This window comes from Homo sapiens, chromosome 21, assembly GCF_000001405.40.
Source record: "Homo sapiens chromosome 21, GRCh38.p14 Primary Assembly".
NCBI classification, from domain to species: domain Eukaryota; kingdom Metazoa; phylum Chordata; class Mammalia; order Primates; family Hominidae; genus Homo; species Homo sapiens.
Genome location: NC_000021.9, coordinates 31,970,170 through 31,988,506, shown reverse-complemented (window position 1 = coordinate 31,988,506; position 18,337 = coordinate 31,970,170). Strand labels below are relative to the sequence as shown.

The 18,337-nt window shown below is 44.9% G+C and overlaps 1 protein-coding gene across 2 annotated transcripts in view, besides 1 other annotated feature; it reads right to left on the bottom strand.

Moving 5' to 3' along the window:
* Positions 1-18,337, bottom strand: part of HUNK (hormonally up-regulated Neu-associated kinase) — a 131,045-nt gene that overhangs the window by 15,558 nt on the left and 97,150 nt on the right. For both annotated transcript variants that reach the window (NM_014586.2, XM_011529537.3), the window contains exons 7-8: positions 13,790-13,952; positions 4,898-4,981 (exon numbers count right to left, since the gene is read on the bottom strand). In NM_014586.2, the coding sequence (NP_055401.1) occupies positions 4,898-4,981; positions 13,790-13,952 (247 nt within the window). The remainder of the gene's footprint in view (positions 1-4,897; positions 4,982-13,789; positions 13,953-18,337) is intronic.
* Positions 13,437-13,961: an enhancer, noted in NCBI's record as "NANOG hESC enhancer chr21:33346858-33347382 (GRCh37/hg19 assembly coordinates)". NCBI's record gives its function as "activates a minimal SCP1, AML or CMV promoter by ChIP-STARR-seq in naive H9 embryonic stem cells {active_cell/tissue: H9 hESC(naive)}" and the evidence as "EXISTENCE:reporter gene assay evidence [ECO:0000049][PMID:30033119]".

Sequence of the window (18,337 nt, the reverse complement as noted above, 5' to 3'; positions counted from 1 at the left end):
AGTTAAATTTCTACCCATTTTGTGGTGCTTGTTAGAGCAGCCAAGCAGACGAATCCAGTTCCCTGCCACCCTCTCCGTCAGTTTTCTTCCAAAACGCCAACATTACTTTGTCATTGCAGAGGAGACCTCCTAGCTGGATTTGACATTTTCCTATAAATTAACATTATTTTTCAAAAGACTTTAATAAAACTGGCCCTGGGCTCTCTAATGGCTTTGATAAGCCAATTTAAAATGATAACCTCCCCACCTCGACCCCCAAAGTCCTGGGGGGTTCTCTTTTTCAGAAAAAGGAGTCCGTCGGGCACACACGATAGGTGTCCTCCTCAGATGAGAAATGCACCCCACTTTTATAGATACAGTCTCTGCCTTTGACAGGAAAAAGAGGTAGAGAAAATGGTAAAGTTGTAAAATCACTGCACGGTTACCCCAAGAGGGAAGTTTTTGCAACTTAATTCAGCTCCTTTGTCTCCTAGGAGAAAACGAACTGGAATCAAAAGGAACAAAGAGGCCACTGCTTGCACTCAGTGCCCGGGACACGGGTTGATGACAGCCCTAGGGGACACGAGCCCTGGGCCACACCCTGGTTTGCTCACAATCTGAAACCTCTCCACCACTCCCTCTCCCCATCCAGCTCCACCCCCTGCCATGTGGTGCGGAGGACGACTGGAAGGTCCTCTGGCTCCGAATGGACTTTCCCTGTGAGGCCTGGGCCCTTCCCTTTCCTGAACTAGCCCCACTCCACTTTCTAGGTTCCTCGGGAGACAAGTTGGATCATCTGGTAATAGCTGTCATTTAATTAGAGAAGTATCACTGCAGTTTAGAGGAAACAAATGGATCATAGAAAATTGAATGCTGTTTGCCCATTAGGGTTCCTATTTAAATCCTAACCATTAAATATTTCAACAAATGTTTAAAACGCTCACCATGTGTCTTCAGGACAGAGGAAATAACACAGAAAAGGAATCGAGATGAAAGAAGGGCCCCTTTCCCACTATAGTTCTGGCCCCTTCCGACACACACTCGCAGTGGGGCAGGTGTCAGGTCAGCGTGGACCAGGGCATCGGCAAGTTGGCTTAGGGGCCACCTAGGGTACACACATTGGGCTCTCCATGCACCTAAGTTTGCATTGTTATTTGAGGTCCTCATGAGTGACATGCAAAGCACGAGGCAGGAAGTCTAACAGTGAATTCTGCATCCCCTGGACTCTGGCTGGGGTGACCACCCTCAGTGCAGGTGACCATAAGAGGTCCCTCCCTGCCGTAAGGCACGGCCATTTGGTGATGATAACGTCATATGTGTGCTAGGCTGCAGGTATCCCCCTGCCTTTAATCCAGCCAGGTATCCCACCTGGAATGTTCTACCTATTCCGGTTGCTTATCCCAGACCTATCCATTTTCTGAGACTCTGATCAGGGCCCACTTGATCTTTTCATTTGTTTATTGAGCAAATATTTATTGAGCACCTACATGCCAGGCATCGTGTGGCCTCTGGGAATATTGTGAGGAGCAAAAGGGACTCAGAGCCCACTCTTCTGGAACTCACAGCCCAGAGGGAGAGATGTTAATCAAACAACCCCAAAACAAATAAACAGCTGCAAATGGGACAGGCCCCAGGATGTAGAACGTGGTAGGCAGATAGGATCGATAGGATAAGACTGGATGGCAGAGGTCAGGGAACAGCAGGTGCCCATGGGGAGGTGATCTTGCTCTGGGATCTGAAGACACTTAGGTTCAGCAAAGAGGAGCAGGGAAAACACTCTGGAAGAGGGAGCAGCATGTGCACAGCCCCCACAGGCAGAGAGAGCACAGCAAGCCCGAAGGCTGTGGACTGAGCACAGGGAGGGATGCAGCGCTGTGTGTGTGGGCCATGTGGCTAGGAGACAAGGCAGGAGAAGCAAGCTGGGGCTGAACCACACAGGGCGACCATGCACGGAGTCTGCCTGGCAAATGAAGGAAACCTCCGAAGGTCTCAAGCAGGAAAGTGACATGATGCGGTGCGAGGGTGAAAAGCTCGCTCTGACGGCCAGGCAGGAGAGAGTGGCGGGCCACCATCCCGGAAGCAAGAGAGTCGGTTAGGAGGGCATAGCAGAAGTCCAGGACAGAGGTGATGTGGCTGGGACCAGGTGTGGGGATGGAGACAGAGAGAGTGCAGGGGTTGGAGGGGTTTAGCGGTCAAATTGGCAGAATGTGGTGATGGGTTGGCTCTGGGGGTAAGGGGAGGGTCAAAGTCAAGGACTCTTGGGTTTCTTCCTTGCACTGCTGGGGAGGATGGGGCTGCTACTGTGGTGGAGGGCGGAGGGCGGCGGGGGGAGAGTCTGGTTCAGAGCGTGCTAGATTCAAGACCCCTTCATTCATGCAAGAGGGGGTTAACATTTAGTAAGCAACTGGCCAGAGGGGTCTAGAGTTCAGGGGGCATCTGGGTCCCCACCACCTGGCTCTCTGGCTTTAAGCCTGAAAGCCACACCTGGGCTTGTGGCTTAGCTTCTGTGGCCACAGCCCACCTTCCAAAGGGCTTGTCTCCATCCTCATCTTCCCCGAGCCCCACAGCCTGTCTTGAGGAAGGGGGCATCCAGCCTGGGGTCAAGGCTAAGGCCCACCATTCCTGCCTGGCCTTGAGCATCCTTCTATCGAGGTCATGTTCTCTCCCTTCACTGCAGTGTCACTGACGGAGAGGCAGATGCTCACTGACTTCCCTTCCCCTCTCCCACCCCCCAAATCCATGCAACCTCTCTTCTGCCTTTGGCACTTCACGAAGCTGTTCTTTCTAACATCCTCAGGACAACTAGCTGCCCAGTAGACAATGCTGACCATTTCACATGTGACCTTTCCTCTGTTCCCACGGGCCCCACTGCAGCATCACTGCCTTCTGGCTGCCCCGCCCCCTGCCGGCTGCCCACTGCCGGCCACCTCCAGCCCTGTCTTTGCCAGTTTCTCCTCTCTCTCTGCCCCAGGGTCTGTCTGAAATGGAGACCTGTGCCATTGCCCACCTCTATGCCGGGGGCAAGTCCCTCTCCTGAGCTCCCATCACATTCGCACAGAGTCCTGCAGCTGGGCACTCCCTGTCATCAGTGTCTCTGGACACCTGCTTCACTGGCTGCCTAGGAGCCCAGTGTGGGCCCCAGTAACCACCATGCTCCACTGCAGCCCTGCGTGCAAGACAAGCCCAGAGAAGAATCTTCCAGAGCGATGTGCACCGCTCATGGGATCAGGATGAAAACTTTACGTTGGAAAAGGAAAGAGGGGAGAGGCCAGGCTCAGTGACCTCACTGGGGCATAGACAAAGGGTCCCTTTTTGATCCCTTCTCAAATGAAGGAACTTCTGGGTGGGTGACTTGATTTGTCCCCACCCAAATCTCCCCTTGAATTGTAATAATCCCCATGTGTCAAGGGCGGGGACAGGTGGAGATCACTGAATCATGAGAGAGGTTTCCCCCATACTGTTCTCATGGTAGTAAGTCTCACAAGATCTGATGGTTTTATTAAGGGGAGTTCCCCTACACAAGCTCTCTTGCCTGCCACCATGTAAGACGTGACTTTGCTCCTCATTTACCTTCTGCCATGATTGTGAGGCCTCCCCAGCCATGTGAAACTGTGAGTCCATCAAACCTCTTTCCTTTATAAAGTACCCAGTCTCGGGTATGTCTTCATTAGCAGCGTGAGAACAGACTAATAGACCTGGGTGTCCCAGGAGAGAGGTTCCTGTGGCAAGGACACTCAGGGGACATAAACAGGCTCCAGAGGGAAAAGGGAAGGTGGTTCCCAGGAAAATCACTGAGAGAAAGAAAAGCTCACTTGGCAAAAAGTGAATGAGGGGCCCTGAGGCTGCACCCCACTCCTGGCCCCCTCCCTGGATCTGGAATTCACAGACACAGTTTCCTAACAAACATGGATGTGGGATGTTTGCTACAGGAGCCTAGTTTTTATTCTGAAATCAGAGTTGTGTTCTTTTTCTCTAGGTACGTCCCAGGTTACATCAGGTCACCAGGGACAGCTGGCCAGGAAAGCCTGCCTGATCCCAAACTTTTGCGTTCCTCATCTCACTTTCTTCTGATGCCACGTGTTACACTCAGCTCTATTTTTAAGCATCTCATTTTTTTCTAGCATTTGCATTTTTTTCCTTTTATTTTTAGTTGACGCATAATCATTATACATCTTTTTTATGGGACAGAGAATGATATTTCCATCTATGTATTCAATATGTAATGATCAAATCAGGGTGATCAGCATATTTATTACCTCAAATATTTATCATTTCTTTTTATTGGGAACATTCAAAATTCTCTTTTAGCTTTTTGAATATACATAATAAGTTACTGTTAACTATAGTCACCCTACAGTGCCACAGAACACCGGAACTTATTCCTTCTGTCTAGCCGTAATTTCATGTTCGTTAAGCAACCTCTCTCTACCCTCCCTTCCCCCTGCCATTCCAAGCCTCTAATAACCACAGTTTTACTCTGTACTTCTATGAGATCAATTTTTGCTAGTTTCACTCACATATGAGTGAAACACTGAAACATCTCATTTTCATTTTGGGAGATCCTGACAGTGGTTTTCAACTTTGGCTGCTCATTGGAACATCCAGGGAGCTTTAAAAACTCCTGATACCCGAGTCTCACCTCCCAAGATTCAATGGAATGGGTCCCAGGTGCGGCCTGGGCATCCAGATGTTTAAACGCTCCCCGTGACTTTAACATGCAGCCACAGCTGAGAACCATGGTTTAGACACCGCAAAGCTGGTTCCGCTGTAAACCATTTCTCAAGGGCTCAGTTATGAGCGTAAGTATGTGTCTTTTGCTACTTCAGTGTCCCACAGTAATTGGTTTCTTTTCCAATTACTGCAAATGGAAATCCACCCTTCCTAAGAGACCCTGAGGTTTGCTTCAGGGGTCACTCACCTCATAGGACTCCTTGGGGGCCCTGTACTTTTCTATCTGGTAGAGCCGGGTCTTGTAGCAGAGGCTGTCCTGGATGTCAGATTTCTACCAGAGGAGAAAAGAAAAAGCACAGCTCAACTCTCAGAAATAGAAATGCCCATTAAGCAGTCATTAATTTTTAAACCAGCGCTTGGCTGAGAGAATGCTGGAAATGTTTGGCAGTCCAGTAAATTGCAACATCAAGTCTCACCCCAGGAAGGCCTGCAGGCAGGTTGCAGTGTGGGGAGAGCCCTGGGCGCAGAGTCAGGTCACCTACTTTGTGTTACTATCGCTGCCAGTAAAGGGCCAGGTGACCCTGAGTAGATCACTGCCCCCTGCAGGGCCTCAGTTCTTTTATCTGTGCAGTAAGACTACTCAAAAACACGAACAGAGAAACCAAGAAAATGAGCTGGAAAGAATAACTTATTTTATTGAACCACTGCATAGAACATAGATCTTGCTTGTTTGCTTTATTTTAAAACAGCACACGGCTGGGTGCAGTGGCTCATACCTGTAATCCCACCACTTTGGGAGGCCGAGGCGGGTGGATCACCTGAGGTCAGGAGTTCGAGACCAGCCTGGCCAACGTGGCGAAACCCTGTCTCTAGTAAAAATACAAAAATAGCCAATCATGGTGGCACACGCCTGTAGTCCCAGCTACTCAGGTGGCTGAGGAAGGAGAATCACTTGAATCCGGGAGGTGGAGGCTGCAGTGAGCCAAGATCGTGCCATTGCACTCCAGCCTGGGTGACAGAGTGAGACTCTGTCTCTCAAAAAAATAAAAATAAAAATAAACAAAAAACAGTGCACACACACACACACACAAACACACATGTACACACTGCTCCCCACTACCACCACCCAAATGAAAGCCATAACAATTCATAACATAGCTCAAAGAAGATAAACAGCTGCACCTAAGCTGAGGAAGGTGCAATCCTGTCTGGAAATGGGTGAAATAAAAACATGGATTAATTAATTAATCAACCAACAAATAGTTAATAAATGCCCTTACAGGCTCTCTATCTTAAAATACGAACTTCGTGGTTTTAAAAAGAGGAAACCAAAAGAGAAGGGAAGAGATGACAATTAAGAGATAACATTTTACTTTTTAGTTCACTAGATTGGGCTTCAAAATTATACACGGGGTGTAAATAATTGGTTGATAAAATTAATAACCGGGACAATGCATACAGTACAATTAAATTAGCCATGTGCAGAAATTACTGAGCAGTTGAGTTGTCTGTAGGGATTAATTCACTCCAGTTAAAAACAGCCACTCGCCTAGAGTATGGATTCTCAGACTAGGTATGCCCTATGATTTAAGCATTAAATGTGAAACAGACATCATAAAACTCACAACTGGTCTGAGAATCCACACTCTAGGCAAGCAGGTGTTTCTAACTAGAGTGAATTAATCCCCATAGACAACTTGTTCAGGAATAAGACAAAGAAGCCCACTCTTACTACTTCTATTCAACATAGTACTGCACGTCCTAGCCAGAGCACTTAGGCAAGAGAAAGAAATCAAAGGCACCCTCAGGAAGAATAGCTAAGGAACGCTGGGATTAATGCCTAGGTGATGGGTTGATCTGTGCAGCAAACCACCATGGCACATGTTTACTTATGTAACAAACCTGCACATCCTAAACATGTACCCCAGAACTTAAAATAAAAGTTGAAGAAAAAATAAAAATAAAAATATTTGGGAAATTGTTAAACTAAATAAATAAGTAAATAAATAAATAAATAAAAGGGATCAAAATTGGAAAGGAAGTTCAATTGTCCCTGTTTGTAGATACACGATCTTATATATAGAAAACCCTAAAGACTACCAAAAAACTGTTTGAACTACTAAATGAATTTAGTAAAGTTGCAGAATGCAAAATCAATATACAAAAATCAATAGTGTTTTCATACACTAACAACAAACTATTCAAAAATGAAATCAAGAAAGCAATGCCACTTACAATAGCCATAAAAAAATCAAATGCTTAGGAATAAATGTAACCAAGGAAGTGAAAGATCTGTACACTGAAAACTATAAGACACTGATGAAAGAAATTGAAGAAGACACAAGTAAATGAAAAGATTCCATGTTCACAGATTGGAAGAATTAATATGATTAAAATGTCCATACTATACTAAGCAATCTACGGATTCAATGGAATCCCTGTCAAAATTCCAATGACGTTTTTCACAGAAACAGAAAAAAAAAAAAATCCTAACATTTGTATGGAACCACAAAAGACCCTGAATAGCCAAAGTCATTTTGAACAATAAAATCAAAGTTGATGCATCACACCACCTGACTTCAAAACACATCACAAAGCTATAGAAACCAAAACAGCATGATACTGGCATAAAAACAGAGACACATAGACCAATGGAATAGAAAAGAGAGTCCAAAAATGAATCCATGCACTTACGGTCAATTACTTTTTGACAAAGCTGCCAAGAACACAGAATGGGGAAAGGAGATCCTCTTAAATAAATGGTGTTGGAAAACTGGACATCCACAGAGAATGAAATCAGACCCTGTCTCACACCATCTGCAAAGTCAACTCAAAATGAGTTAAAGACTTAGGCCCGGGCCACAGTGGCTCATGCCTGTAATCCCAGCACTTTGGGAGGCCAAGGCAGGTGGATCACCTGAGGTTGGGAGTTCAAGATCAGCCTGACCAACATGGAGAAACCCCATCTCTACTAAAAATACAAAATTACCTGGGCATGGTGGCGCATGCCTATAATCACAGCTACTTGGGAGGCTAAGGCAGGAGAATCGCTTGAACCTGGGAGACGGAGGTTGCGATGAATGGAGATCTCGCCATTGCACTCCAGCCTGGACAACAAGAATGAAACTCCATCTCAAAAAGAAAAAAAGACTTAGGCCCAGGCCGGGCATGGTGGCTCACGCCTGTAATCCCAGCACTTTGGGTGGTAGAGGTGGGCAGATCACGAGGTCAAGAGATCAAGACCATCCTGGCCAACTTGGTGAAACCCCATCTCTACTAAACATACAAAAATTAGCCACGTGACAAAAATTAGCCACGTGTGGTGGCAGGCAGGCGTCTGTAATCCCAGCTACTCAGGAGGCTGAGGCAGGAGAATCGCTTGAAGCTGGGAGGCGGAGGTTGCAGTGAGCCAAGATCGCGCCACTGCACTCCAGCCTGGTGACAGAGCGAGACTCCATCTCAAAAAAAAAAAAAAAAGAAGAAGACAGGCCTGGTGCGGTGGCTCACGCCTATAATCCCAGCACTTTGGGAGGCCGATGCGGGCAGACCACAGGGTCAGGAGTTTGAGACCAGCCTGGCCAACATAGTGAAACCCCGTCTCTACTAAAAATACAAAAATTTGCTGGGCATGGTGGTGCACACCTGTAGTCCCAGCTACTTGAGAGGCTGAGGCACAAGAATCGCTTGAACCCAGGAGGTGGAGGTCACGGTGAGCTGAGATCACACCACTGCACTCCAGCTTGGGTGACAGAGTGAGACTTCATCTCAAAAAATAAATAAATAAACAAACAAACAAGATCCAAAACTATAAATCTACTAGAAGACAACCTACAGAAAAGGCTTCATTACATTGGTCTGGACAATGATTTTTTGGACATGACTCCCAAAGCACAGGCAACAAAAGCACAAATAGACAAATGTAATTACATCAAATTCAAAAGCTCTGCACAACAAAGGAAATAATCGACAGAGTAAAGAGATCTATGGAATGGGATAAAATATTTGTAAACCATACATCTGACAAAGAACATATAAAGAATGCAGCTGGGCGTGGTGGCTTATGCCTGTAATCCCAGCACTTTGGGAGGCCAAGGTGGGCAGATCACGAGGTCAGGAGATTGAGACCATCCTGGCTAACACGGTGAAACCCTGTCTCTACTAAAAATACAAAAAATTAGCCAGGTGAGGTGGCAGGTGCCTGTAGTCCCAGCTACTTGGGAGGCTGAGACTGGAGAATAGCGTGAACCCAGGAGGCGGAGCTTGCAGTGAGCTGAGATCACGCCAGCCTGGGTGACAGAGCAAGACTCCATCTCAAAAAAAAAAAAAAAAAAAAAAAAAAAAGAATGCAAACAACTCAATAGCCAGAAAACAACCCAATTAAAAAGTGCACATAGGATCTGAAGACATTTCTCAAAAGAAGACATAGAAATGGCCAATAGGGGCCGGGCGCGGTGGCTCACACCTGTAATCCCAGCACTTTGGGAGGCCGAGGCAGGCAGATCACAAGGTCAAGAGATTGAGACCATCCTGGCCAACATGGTGAAACCCCGTCTCTACTAAAAATACAAAAATTAGCTGGGCATGGTGGTGTGCACCTGTAGTCCCAGCTACTCAGGAGACTGAGGCAGGAGAATTGCTTGAATCCAGGAGGCAGAGGTTGCAGTAAGCAGAGGTTGCAGTGAGCCGAGATCACGCCACTGCACTCCAGCCTGGTGACATAGCGAGACTCCCTCTCAAAAAAAAAAAAAGAAATGGCCAATAGGTATGCTCAACATCACCAATCATAAGGGAAATGCAAATTAAAGCTACAATGAGATACTGCCTCACATCTGTAAGAACAGCTTTTATCATAAAGATGGAAGATACCACATGTTGGAGAGGATGTGGAGAAGAAAGAACCTTTGCACACTGTCGGTGGGAATGTAAATTAGTACAACCATTATGGAAATCAGTATGGATCCTCAAAAAATTAAAAGTAGAACTACCATGTGATCCAGCAATTCCACTTCTGGGTCTATATTCAAAGGAGATGAAATCAGTATGTTGAAGACACATATGCACCCCCACCCCATGTTCAATGCAGCATTATTTACAATAGCCAGGAAATGGCTATTGTGTCCATCAACGGATGAATGAATAAAGAAAGTGTGTGGTACCTATATATAATGGAATACTATTCAACCTTTAAAAAGACAGAAATTCTGTCATTTTTGACAATATGGATGAACCTAGAGGACATTATGCTAAGTGAAATAAGCCAGGCACAGAAAGACAAATAGTGTACAATCTCACTTATACATGGAATCTAAAAAGTGTAGGTCACAGAAGTAGAGAGTAGAATGATGGTTACCAGAGGCTGAAGGGGATGAGGGAAAGTGGGCAGAAGAGATATTGGTCAAAAGATACAAAATTTCAGTTAAACAGGAGGAAAAAAATTTAAGACATGATTGAACAATGTGGTGACTATAGTTAATAACAGTGTATTTATTCTTGTAAATTGCTAAGAGAGTAGATTTTCAATGGTCTCACCACAAATAAATGATAAATTTGTGTGGTTACACATATATTATTTAGCTTGATTTAGCCATTCCACAATGTATATATATTTCAAAGCATCATGTTGTACAGGATAAATATATACCATTTTTTTGGTCAATTAAATAAATTTAATTGAAAACAACCCCCAAACCTTTTCCAGTTAGAATGACACCAGCTGAGTTTCCAGAGAATGTTCTCAGATGACAAAGCCACACTCTGCTTTGCAACACTTGCAGCCTGGATGCTGGGCAAAGCAGACAGGCAGAAATGCAGCAGCTGGCAACACACCCAGGCACCTCAGGACACAGTCTAAGAGCTTCAGGCCAGGTGCAGTGGCTCATGCCTATAATCCCAGCGCTTTGGGAGGCCTAGGCGGGCGGACTGCTTGAGCCCAGGAGTTAGAGACCAGCCTGGGCAACATGGCGAAAGCCCGTCTCTACAAAAAATACAATTAGCCTCGACTTCCCAGGCTCAAGCGATCCTCCTGCCTCAGCCTCCTGAGTAGCTGGGACTATAGCAGGATGGCTTGAGCCCAGGAAGTCGAGGCTCCAGTGATCCATGATTGTGCCACTGCACTCCAGCCTGGGCGACAGAGTGAGACTCTTTTTGTTGTGTTTTGTTTTGGTTTGGTTTTAAAAGACAAAAAAGCTTCAGATAAAATGTCTCTCTTGCTTGGCATGAGCTATGTATTTGTTTAAGAAGAGCGTGAATCACAAAAGCTTGTATCTCTAAATGTGGAAGTAAACATAGGACAGTTTTTTAAAACCTAACACCCCTCCATCTTACTTGGTCAGCACCTGAAGAACTAGTTCCACCAAAAGAAAAATGTTTGGAACTGTTAACTTACTTGGGAAAGTAGCAATGTCATTCTCTAATAAGCAAAATCATGAACTTTATAATATAGTCAGTTTCATGAAAACACATTTGAATAACTAAGTTTTGAACAGTATTCATCACCTGAAAAAGATTACCAGTGCATTAACCCTCTTTTCTTCCTTTTATCTGAAGACTATTTAAATTCTTAACTTTCATCCTCTATAGCATGGTGGTGTCCAAATGCTATGACCCTAATCCCTTATGTGTGACAAACTTGTAAGCAGGCACCTGCAACATATGCATATTTATAAATTATAAGCATGTAACATTGTACGAATATATCATGTACGCTATAAGATATATAATAAATAGAAATTTTAAAGTATGAGAAAGAAGTTTGGGGAATATAGTCTTTTTGCAAAAGAGAAATGGGGTCGGGCATGGTGGCTCACAGCTGTATTCCTAGCACTTTGGGAGGCCAAGGTGGGCAGACTGCTTGAGCTCAGGAATTCAAGACCAGCCTGGGCAACATGGCAAAACCCCATCTCTACCAAAAATACAAAAATTAGTTGGTCATGGTGGTGCGTACCTGTAGTCCCAGCTACTCAGGACACTGAGGTGGGAGAATCACTTGAACCCAGGAAGCAGATGTTGCAGTGAGCCGAGATCATGCCACTGCACTCTAGCCTGGGTGACAGAGTGAGACCTCATCTCAAAAGAAAAAAAAAAAAAAGAGGGCCAGGTGCTTTGGCTCACGCCTATAATCCCAGCACTTTGGGAGGCTGAGGTAGGAGGATCGCTTGAAGTCAGGAGTTTGAGACCAGCCTGGCCAATATGGCAAAACTCCATCTCTACTAAAAATACAAAAATTAGACAAGCGTGGTGGCACGTGCCTGTGGTCCCAGCTACTCAGGAGGCTGAGGCAGGAGAATCACTTGAACCTGGGAGGCAGAAGTTGCAGTGAGCCGAGATCGTCCCACTGCACTCCAGCCTAGGCGACAGAGAAAGACTCCGTCTCCAAAAAAAAAAAAAAAAAAAAAAAAGTCTCAAAAAACAATTAAAACAAGAGAAATGAGAGAGAAACAGCTTCAAGTCCAGTATGTCTTTTATGTTCCTTGTGATGAGAGAACAGAGAACTGCTGTGTGATACAAGAGATTTTCTGAATCTCTCCTCATCATATAATAAAATAAAATAAATAGTATACTATATGTTGAAAGTCCTGTCTTTCTGGATTTGACATCTCTTCTCCAGTAGCTTTCTATGAGCAAGGCAGCCACAGTGACACCATCTGTGAAATCTAACTCAAAGCGTTGACTCTGTCCCCATCAGAGAGGTGCCACCCCATCATACAGACCACGTTTTTTCCCCCATAAAACATTGTTAAATCTCTTTATTGTTGAGAGTACTTCTTCTCATGTAGATCTTTCCTTTGGTGGTTCACAAAAAAACAAAAACAAAAACAAAGGAGTTCTGTGGATAATTTCCTGCGGAAGCACAATGGAAGCACAATCTAGCCAATATTCTGAGCTAAATCAGCTTAGAAACATCTGTACTTTCATCCAAATGTTTAACCAACCTCCCGTGGAGCATCTTCATCTGTTCAGCAATGTTTTCTAGACGGCTCCCAAATCCATTTGCTAACAAAAGACACACACTGACTACCTTGTCCTCCGGGTATTAATTTGGTCATCTCCACCATGCCAGCGAGAATATCATTTCCCCAACTGCAGGTAGATTTTCATCTTTAGCTCTCATATAGAAACCTCAAAAAGGTTTCTAAGCCTATTGTCTAGTGAAATTTGGTGACATATTGGGCTATCACGTGACTTCAATAGCACATGTTCTGGATGGTAAATGTCTTCCTAACAGTGACAACTCCACGCCATCAGATGTCAAGGTGCAACAGGCCCAGGGTGAAGGTGGTCCCTCGTGAAAGTGAACACTCAGTCAAATTTCAGATAGGCTTCCTGGCAATTCTGAATTTCTTTGGCTGACTCCCTGTTAGAGCTGGTCAGCACCCACCATTCTGAGTAAAAGCATGAGCTGCTGTATGCAGACTCCATATTGTCTTGGATCCAATTTGCAGAATTCTTTTTAAGCCATTGTCCATTTGGAGAGAGACAATTTAAGGCACATAAATTCTCTTACTCAGGCACACAGAAACTGCTTGTGGCAAAAATGATGAAGGGGACAGGGTGTCAGGGTCCCACCATCCACCCCACGCTGTGGAAACCCCAAAGGTACCTCGCGGGTGACACCAGACACTTGGACTTTCTGACACTCAGACTGAGGGAAGGTGCCAGAGTCAGGCCAGGCAAGTCCAATTTTGTTCTTATTTTCTGGAGAAGTTAAACCTAAATAGTGGCTTTCTCATATATAATACCATAGTTCAGAGACAAATGCCCGGGAGGCACTGCTACCCGAGTTTTAGGACCAGAGAACCCTCCAATGCCTCCAACATGGGGAACCCAAAGACCTAAGAGGCAGCAGAACAAAAAAAAAAAAGACAACAGAGATGCTGTTGAAGGAAAAAGAGGCTTGAACCCCTCCCAATTCTGCCCAGGGCTTAACTCGGTGGGAGAGTATTTGAAAAACATTGCAGATAAAAGGCACTCCCTGAGAAGCAGGTTTAGCTACGACTTTATCCCACATTCAGAAAACTCAGCCTCACATTAGATTAAATTAGCAGCTTGGATCAAGTGTCAGCAACTGAGAAGCACTTTGGGTGTAGGAGCTCTTTTTTCCACAGACAGCAGAGACGATCGCCTCTAGGGTCGCACTTACCCCTGACAAATAGCGCTCCAGTTTCTTGTTTAAGAGGAAGTAGATGGCCAGGATGTGGCAGGCGCGGTTGGAGAGCACAGTGTTGATCACGTCGCTGTTCTTGTAACCCAGCTTCTCGGTCATGTGCAGCACGACGCTCGGGCTCAGATCTTCCAGAGAAATCCTGCGAGGTGCAGAGAGAGAGGACCAGTCACCCCTGCACTTCACGGAGAGCCCCACACAGACCCCCTGGGCACAATCAGCTTCATTCATTCACTCATTCATTCACTGACTTGAGTTTTTATTTTGAAAATGTTCTCGTATTCAGAAAAGCGGAGGGAATAGTACAATCACTTTATGTATACCATCATCTAGATATACCAGTGATCACTTTGCCATCCTTGCATTTTTTTTTTGCTGAAGTATTTTAAATTACAAACATCATGACATTTTACCCCTTAACCCTTGAGTGTGCACCTTCAAAAACCAAAGATGTCCCCCACAGAACCGCAATACCATCAACATACCCAATAAAATTTTAATAATCACTTAATAGCATCTAATACCCAGATTATACTCAAATCTCCCAACTGTCCCCCAGATTTCCTTATGATCACACATTCTTTCCTTAAAATGTATTGGTTGTCATGGACAGAAGCCACTCTGACTCTGGATTTTGGGGTGGAAAAGGAAGGTATTCAGGAACTAGCCAGATCATGTTTAGGGGAACAGAAAGAGTTCATAAGTTCATACATGGGGGGTTCAGGGCTCAGCGGCAAAGTGGGGTCCTCTCAGAGGAAGAGAGTTAAAGCTACTTCACAAGGGGACTGTGAAGATAAACTCCTTGGGATAAAATGGCAAAGAAATACCGGGCTTCATTCATCTACGCATTCATTTGTTCACCCTCCCAGTGGGGAAGAGAGGATGTAAATTCACTTAGTCATCCTGATAGTCCTATGAGTAGGTACTATCATGACCCCAACTTTACAGATAACAAAACCAAAGCCCACAGCAATGCAGTACCTTGCCCAGGGTCACACAGGCAGGAAGTGACAGCCCTAGAATTAAGAACCGGCAGCCGGGTTCAGTGTCTAGATGCTCACTGCTTCCCAAATAAACAGACACATCCATCATCATCATCATCATCATCATCATCACCACCACCATCACCATCATCCAATGGCTATGGAGACTGAGAAATCAGGGGGAGGGCTCTAAGGGAGTGTATGTGTTGGTAGTGGGGCTGTGTCAAAAGAACATTCTAAATCCCTTAAGAGTGATACAAAGAATGATGGCATTCTGAACAAACTATCGCAAGGACAGAAAACCAAACACCGCATCTTCTCACTCATAGGTGGGAATTGAACAATAAGAACACTTGGACACAGGGTGGGGAACATCACACACCAGGGCCTGTGGTGGGGAAGGGGGAGAGATAGTATTAGGAGATATACCTAATGCAAATGACGAGTTAATGGGTGCAGCAAACCAACATGGCACATGTATATATATGTAACAAACCTGCACGTTGTGCACATGTACCCTAGAACTTAAAAGTATAATAAAAAAATTAAAAAGTATAATAAAAGTATAATAAATAAATAAAAAGAGTGATACAAAGAGGGCAATCGGAGCAGAAGGCAAGTTATCTGGCTGGAGAGCCACTAGCCTCCATGTCAAGGGGTCTGAAGACATTTGGATAGAACCTCAGAACCATAATGCCCAGAGAGGTAGCCCCATAATTGTAAAGAAGAGGAGACTTTGCAAGTTCTTCTGTAAGAAGAGAACTTGCCCACTGCACACGGCCGGTTGGCAGGGGCACCGAGAGCAGAACGAGGTCTCCTGACCATTGCCTGCCACCGGTCGGTGTAACCTACATCAGTTCTCCCTCCACTACTTTTGCCTAAGTGCTGTCCCAAAAGACAAACAAATGAAAACACACCCAACAAACAATGAGATCAGCCTTCCTCATTCCTGTTTGTCACAAAATTACACATTCCAGATAACATGTGGGAGAGGGATTGGCACGATTACTGGCTTAAAAAGTGTATTAATAACAAGTTTGTTTATTAAAATAACTACTTGAGGTCTACCAAAACAATGCAGAGGGAACAGTGGTTTGGAAATACCTGGGAATCCCAAGAGCAGTGCACCCGCCGAGGGTATGGGGTGTTCTGGAAGAAAAGTCAGCAGCATGGAAAGGAGAGGTGTGCACAGGGGCAGACACCCCATCTCTGCCTTTTATGTCCAGTATCTTCAAAAACGAGCTCTGCCAAAATGTAAATGGTCAACTGACTCTGGACTGAGAGGAATAGTTTAAATGTTTTCCTATAAACCATGCATAAACCTGATGCTTTCAAGTATCACTTAACCAATCTGTATATGGCTTCATGTTTGGATGACACAGAGAATGGTACAATGTTCCAGAATACTAGATATAATTTGAATTGAGCAAATTCACATGCAATCCATTTTGATACCATGGATCTAATTTGGTCTAATTCTGTCCTGTATTGCCTGCGACCTCCTCCCCTCCCACCAGTTCCAAAGCTAACTGGAGGGGTGGAGAGACTGTCCAGGCCCCTGCAGGGAGACAGAAAGAGGCAGCAAGCTTGGCTCTGTACAAAAGTCTGAAACCCAGCACTTTAGGAGACTGAGGCACAGAGAGTGCTTGGAGCCAGGAGTTTAAGACCAGCCTGGGCAACACAGAAAAACCCCCATCTCTACAACAAAAATAGAAACACTTAGCTGGCGATGGTAGCACATGCCTGTAGTCCCTCTACTATAGAAGCTGAGGCGTGAAGGTTACTCGAGCCCAGGAGTTCTAGGTCACAGTGAGCTGTGATTGCGCCACTGAACTCTAGCCTGGGCTATGAAGGAAGACTTGTCTCAAAAAAAAAAAAAAAAAGTCTGCACCTGGATCAGGAGGGGAGCTGGCACCTAGCAAACATCTGTTGACTGACTGGCATAAACATTTATTTATAAAAAATTTACTTCCAAAGACATTTCCCTCTTTGCTTTTAGAGATCAACTTGGAGGCTGAAATGACTTCACAGGAGAAGGCTTTATAGAAGAGTGATGTAAAATACGAGACCTTTATTTTCCTAACTTTCTCAAAAGAAAAATATTGACAACACTTAAAATACATCTGGGGCTAGGTATGTTGGGAAACTATAAAACATACTTTATAAAGAAAATATCCCTTTCTCTGTTTGTATGTTCTCACTCCCTTTATCTACATGCCAGTAAAACCAGAAAAATAAATATAAAAAATACATTTTTTTTGTCTTAAAGATAAATGTTTTTCAAAATAAACACTGTAAATAACATGTACCTCCCCCAACAGCCTAGAATTCTGGTTCCAGGCCAGGCACGGTGGTGGCTCACGCCTATAATCCCAGCACTTTGGGAGGCTGCAGCAGGCGGATCACTTGAGGCCAGGAGTTTATGACCAGCCTGGGCAACATGGTGAAACCTCATCTCTACTAAAAATACAAAAACTAGCCGGGCGTGGTGGCACTAATCCCAGCTACTCAGGAGGCTGAGGCAGGAGAATCGCTTGATCCCAGGAGGCGGAGGTTGCAGTGAGCCGAGATTGCACCACTGCACTCCAGCCTGGGCGACAGATCAAGACTCTGTCTCAAAATAAATAAATAATAAATAAATAAAAATAAAGAAAAAGAATTCTGGTTCCACGCTTAAAAACCAAACACTGATTTGCCTCTAGTGTAAAATCAGCAATGGGCCTTATACACACAGAAGACACTGAGTGCTGTTTTCCTGAGCATGTGAGATCTCAGCCAGTTTTACAATCCACTTAACCAGTTTCATGTGCAGCCATTATGCTTCTGACCAAGTCCAAATGCAAAAACCATTACAATAATCTGGCAACAACAGGATAGGAGTTGCCTATCCTGTTTTATAAGTTTTAATCTATCAAAGCCTGTCTGCAAACTGTGGGAAAGCTACAAAATGAGATGTCGCCTCGTAATTCTTTGTGAATGAAGATGCAGCCAACAAGGAGGGGAAATACTGTCTAACACCAACTCCACTTCCTTCAACAGTTGCCGCATTGAGTGGATTGATTATGCTCATTTAGGCGGTGATTACATGAGCTTAATGACTCATGTGGCCACCAGCAAGGCCCCCTCCTTTAACAGAAAGCATACCTGCGTGCTGCTCTCCATCATGAGTATGGATAATGAGGCAAGGTCCTTTCAGCTTTGCTCCCTGCCTCGCTTTGGAGTAGTATTTCTGGTGTCTGTTTCAGATCCTGGCCCACATCGAGCTGTTATTGGAAAACAGCAATCTATTTCCAGGTTCCCTTGGTAACCTAAGTCACCTAGACTTTGTTTAAATTACCTCCCATGAGCCAAATGCTAGAATTCTAGATGGCAACGGAGTGAAACCACCTCCTCTCTGGGCACGGTGAGTGTAAATTTGGCACTGAAGTGTGGATGCAGACTCCCACGCCCCTTTAAAGTTTTTCTAGAGCTTCCATCCCAAGCAGAGCCCTGCCTGGCCATCTTCTTTGAAGGACTCAGCACTTCTGCTTTCATAAGGCTTGGT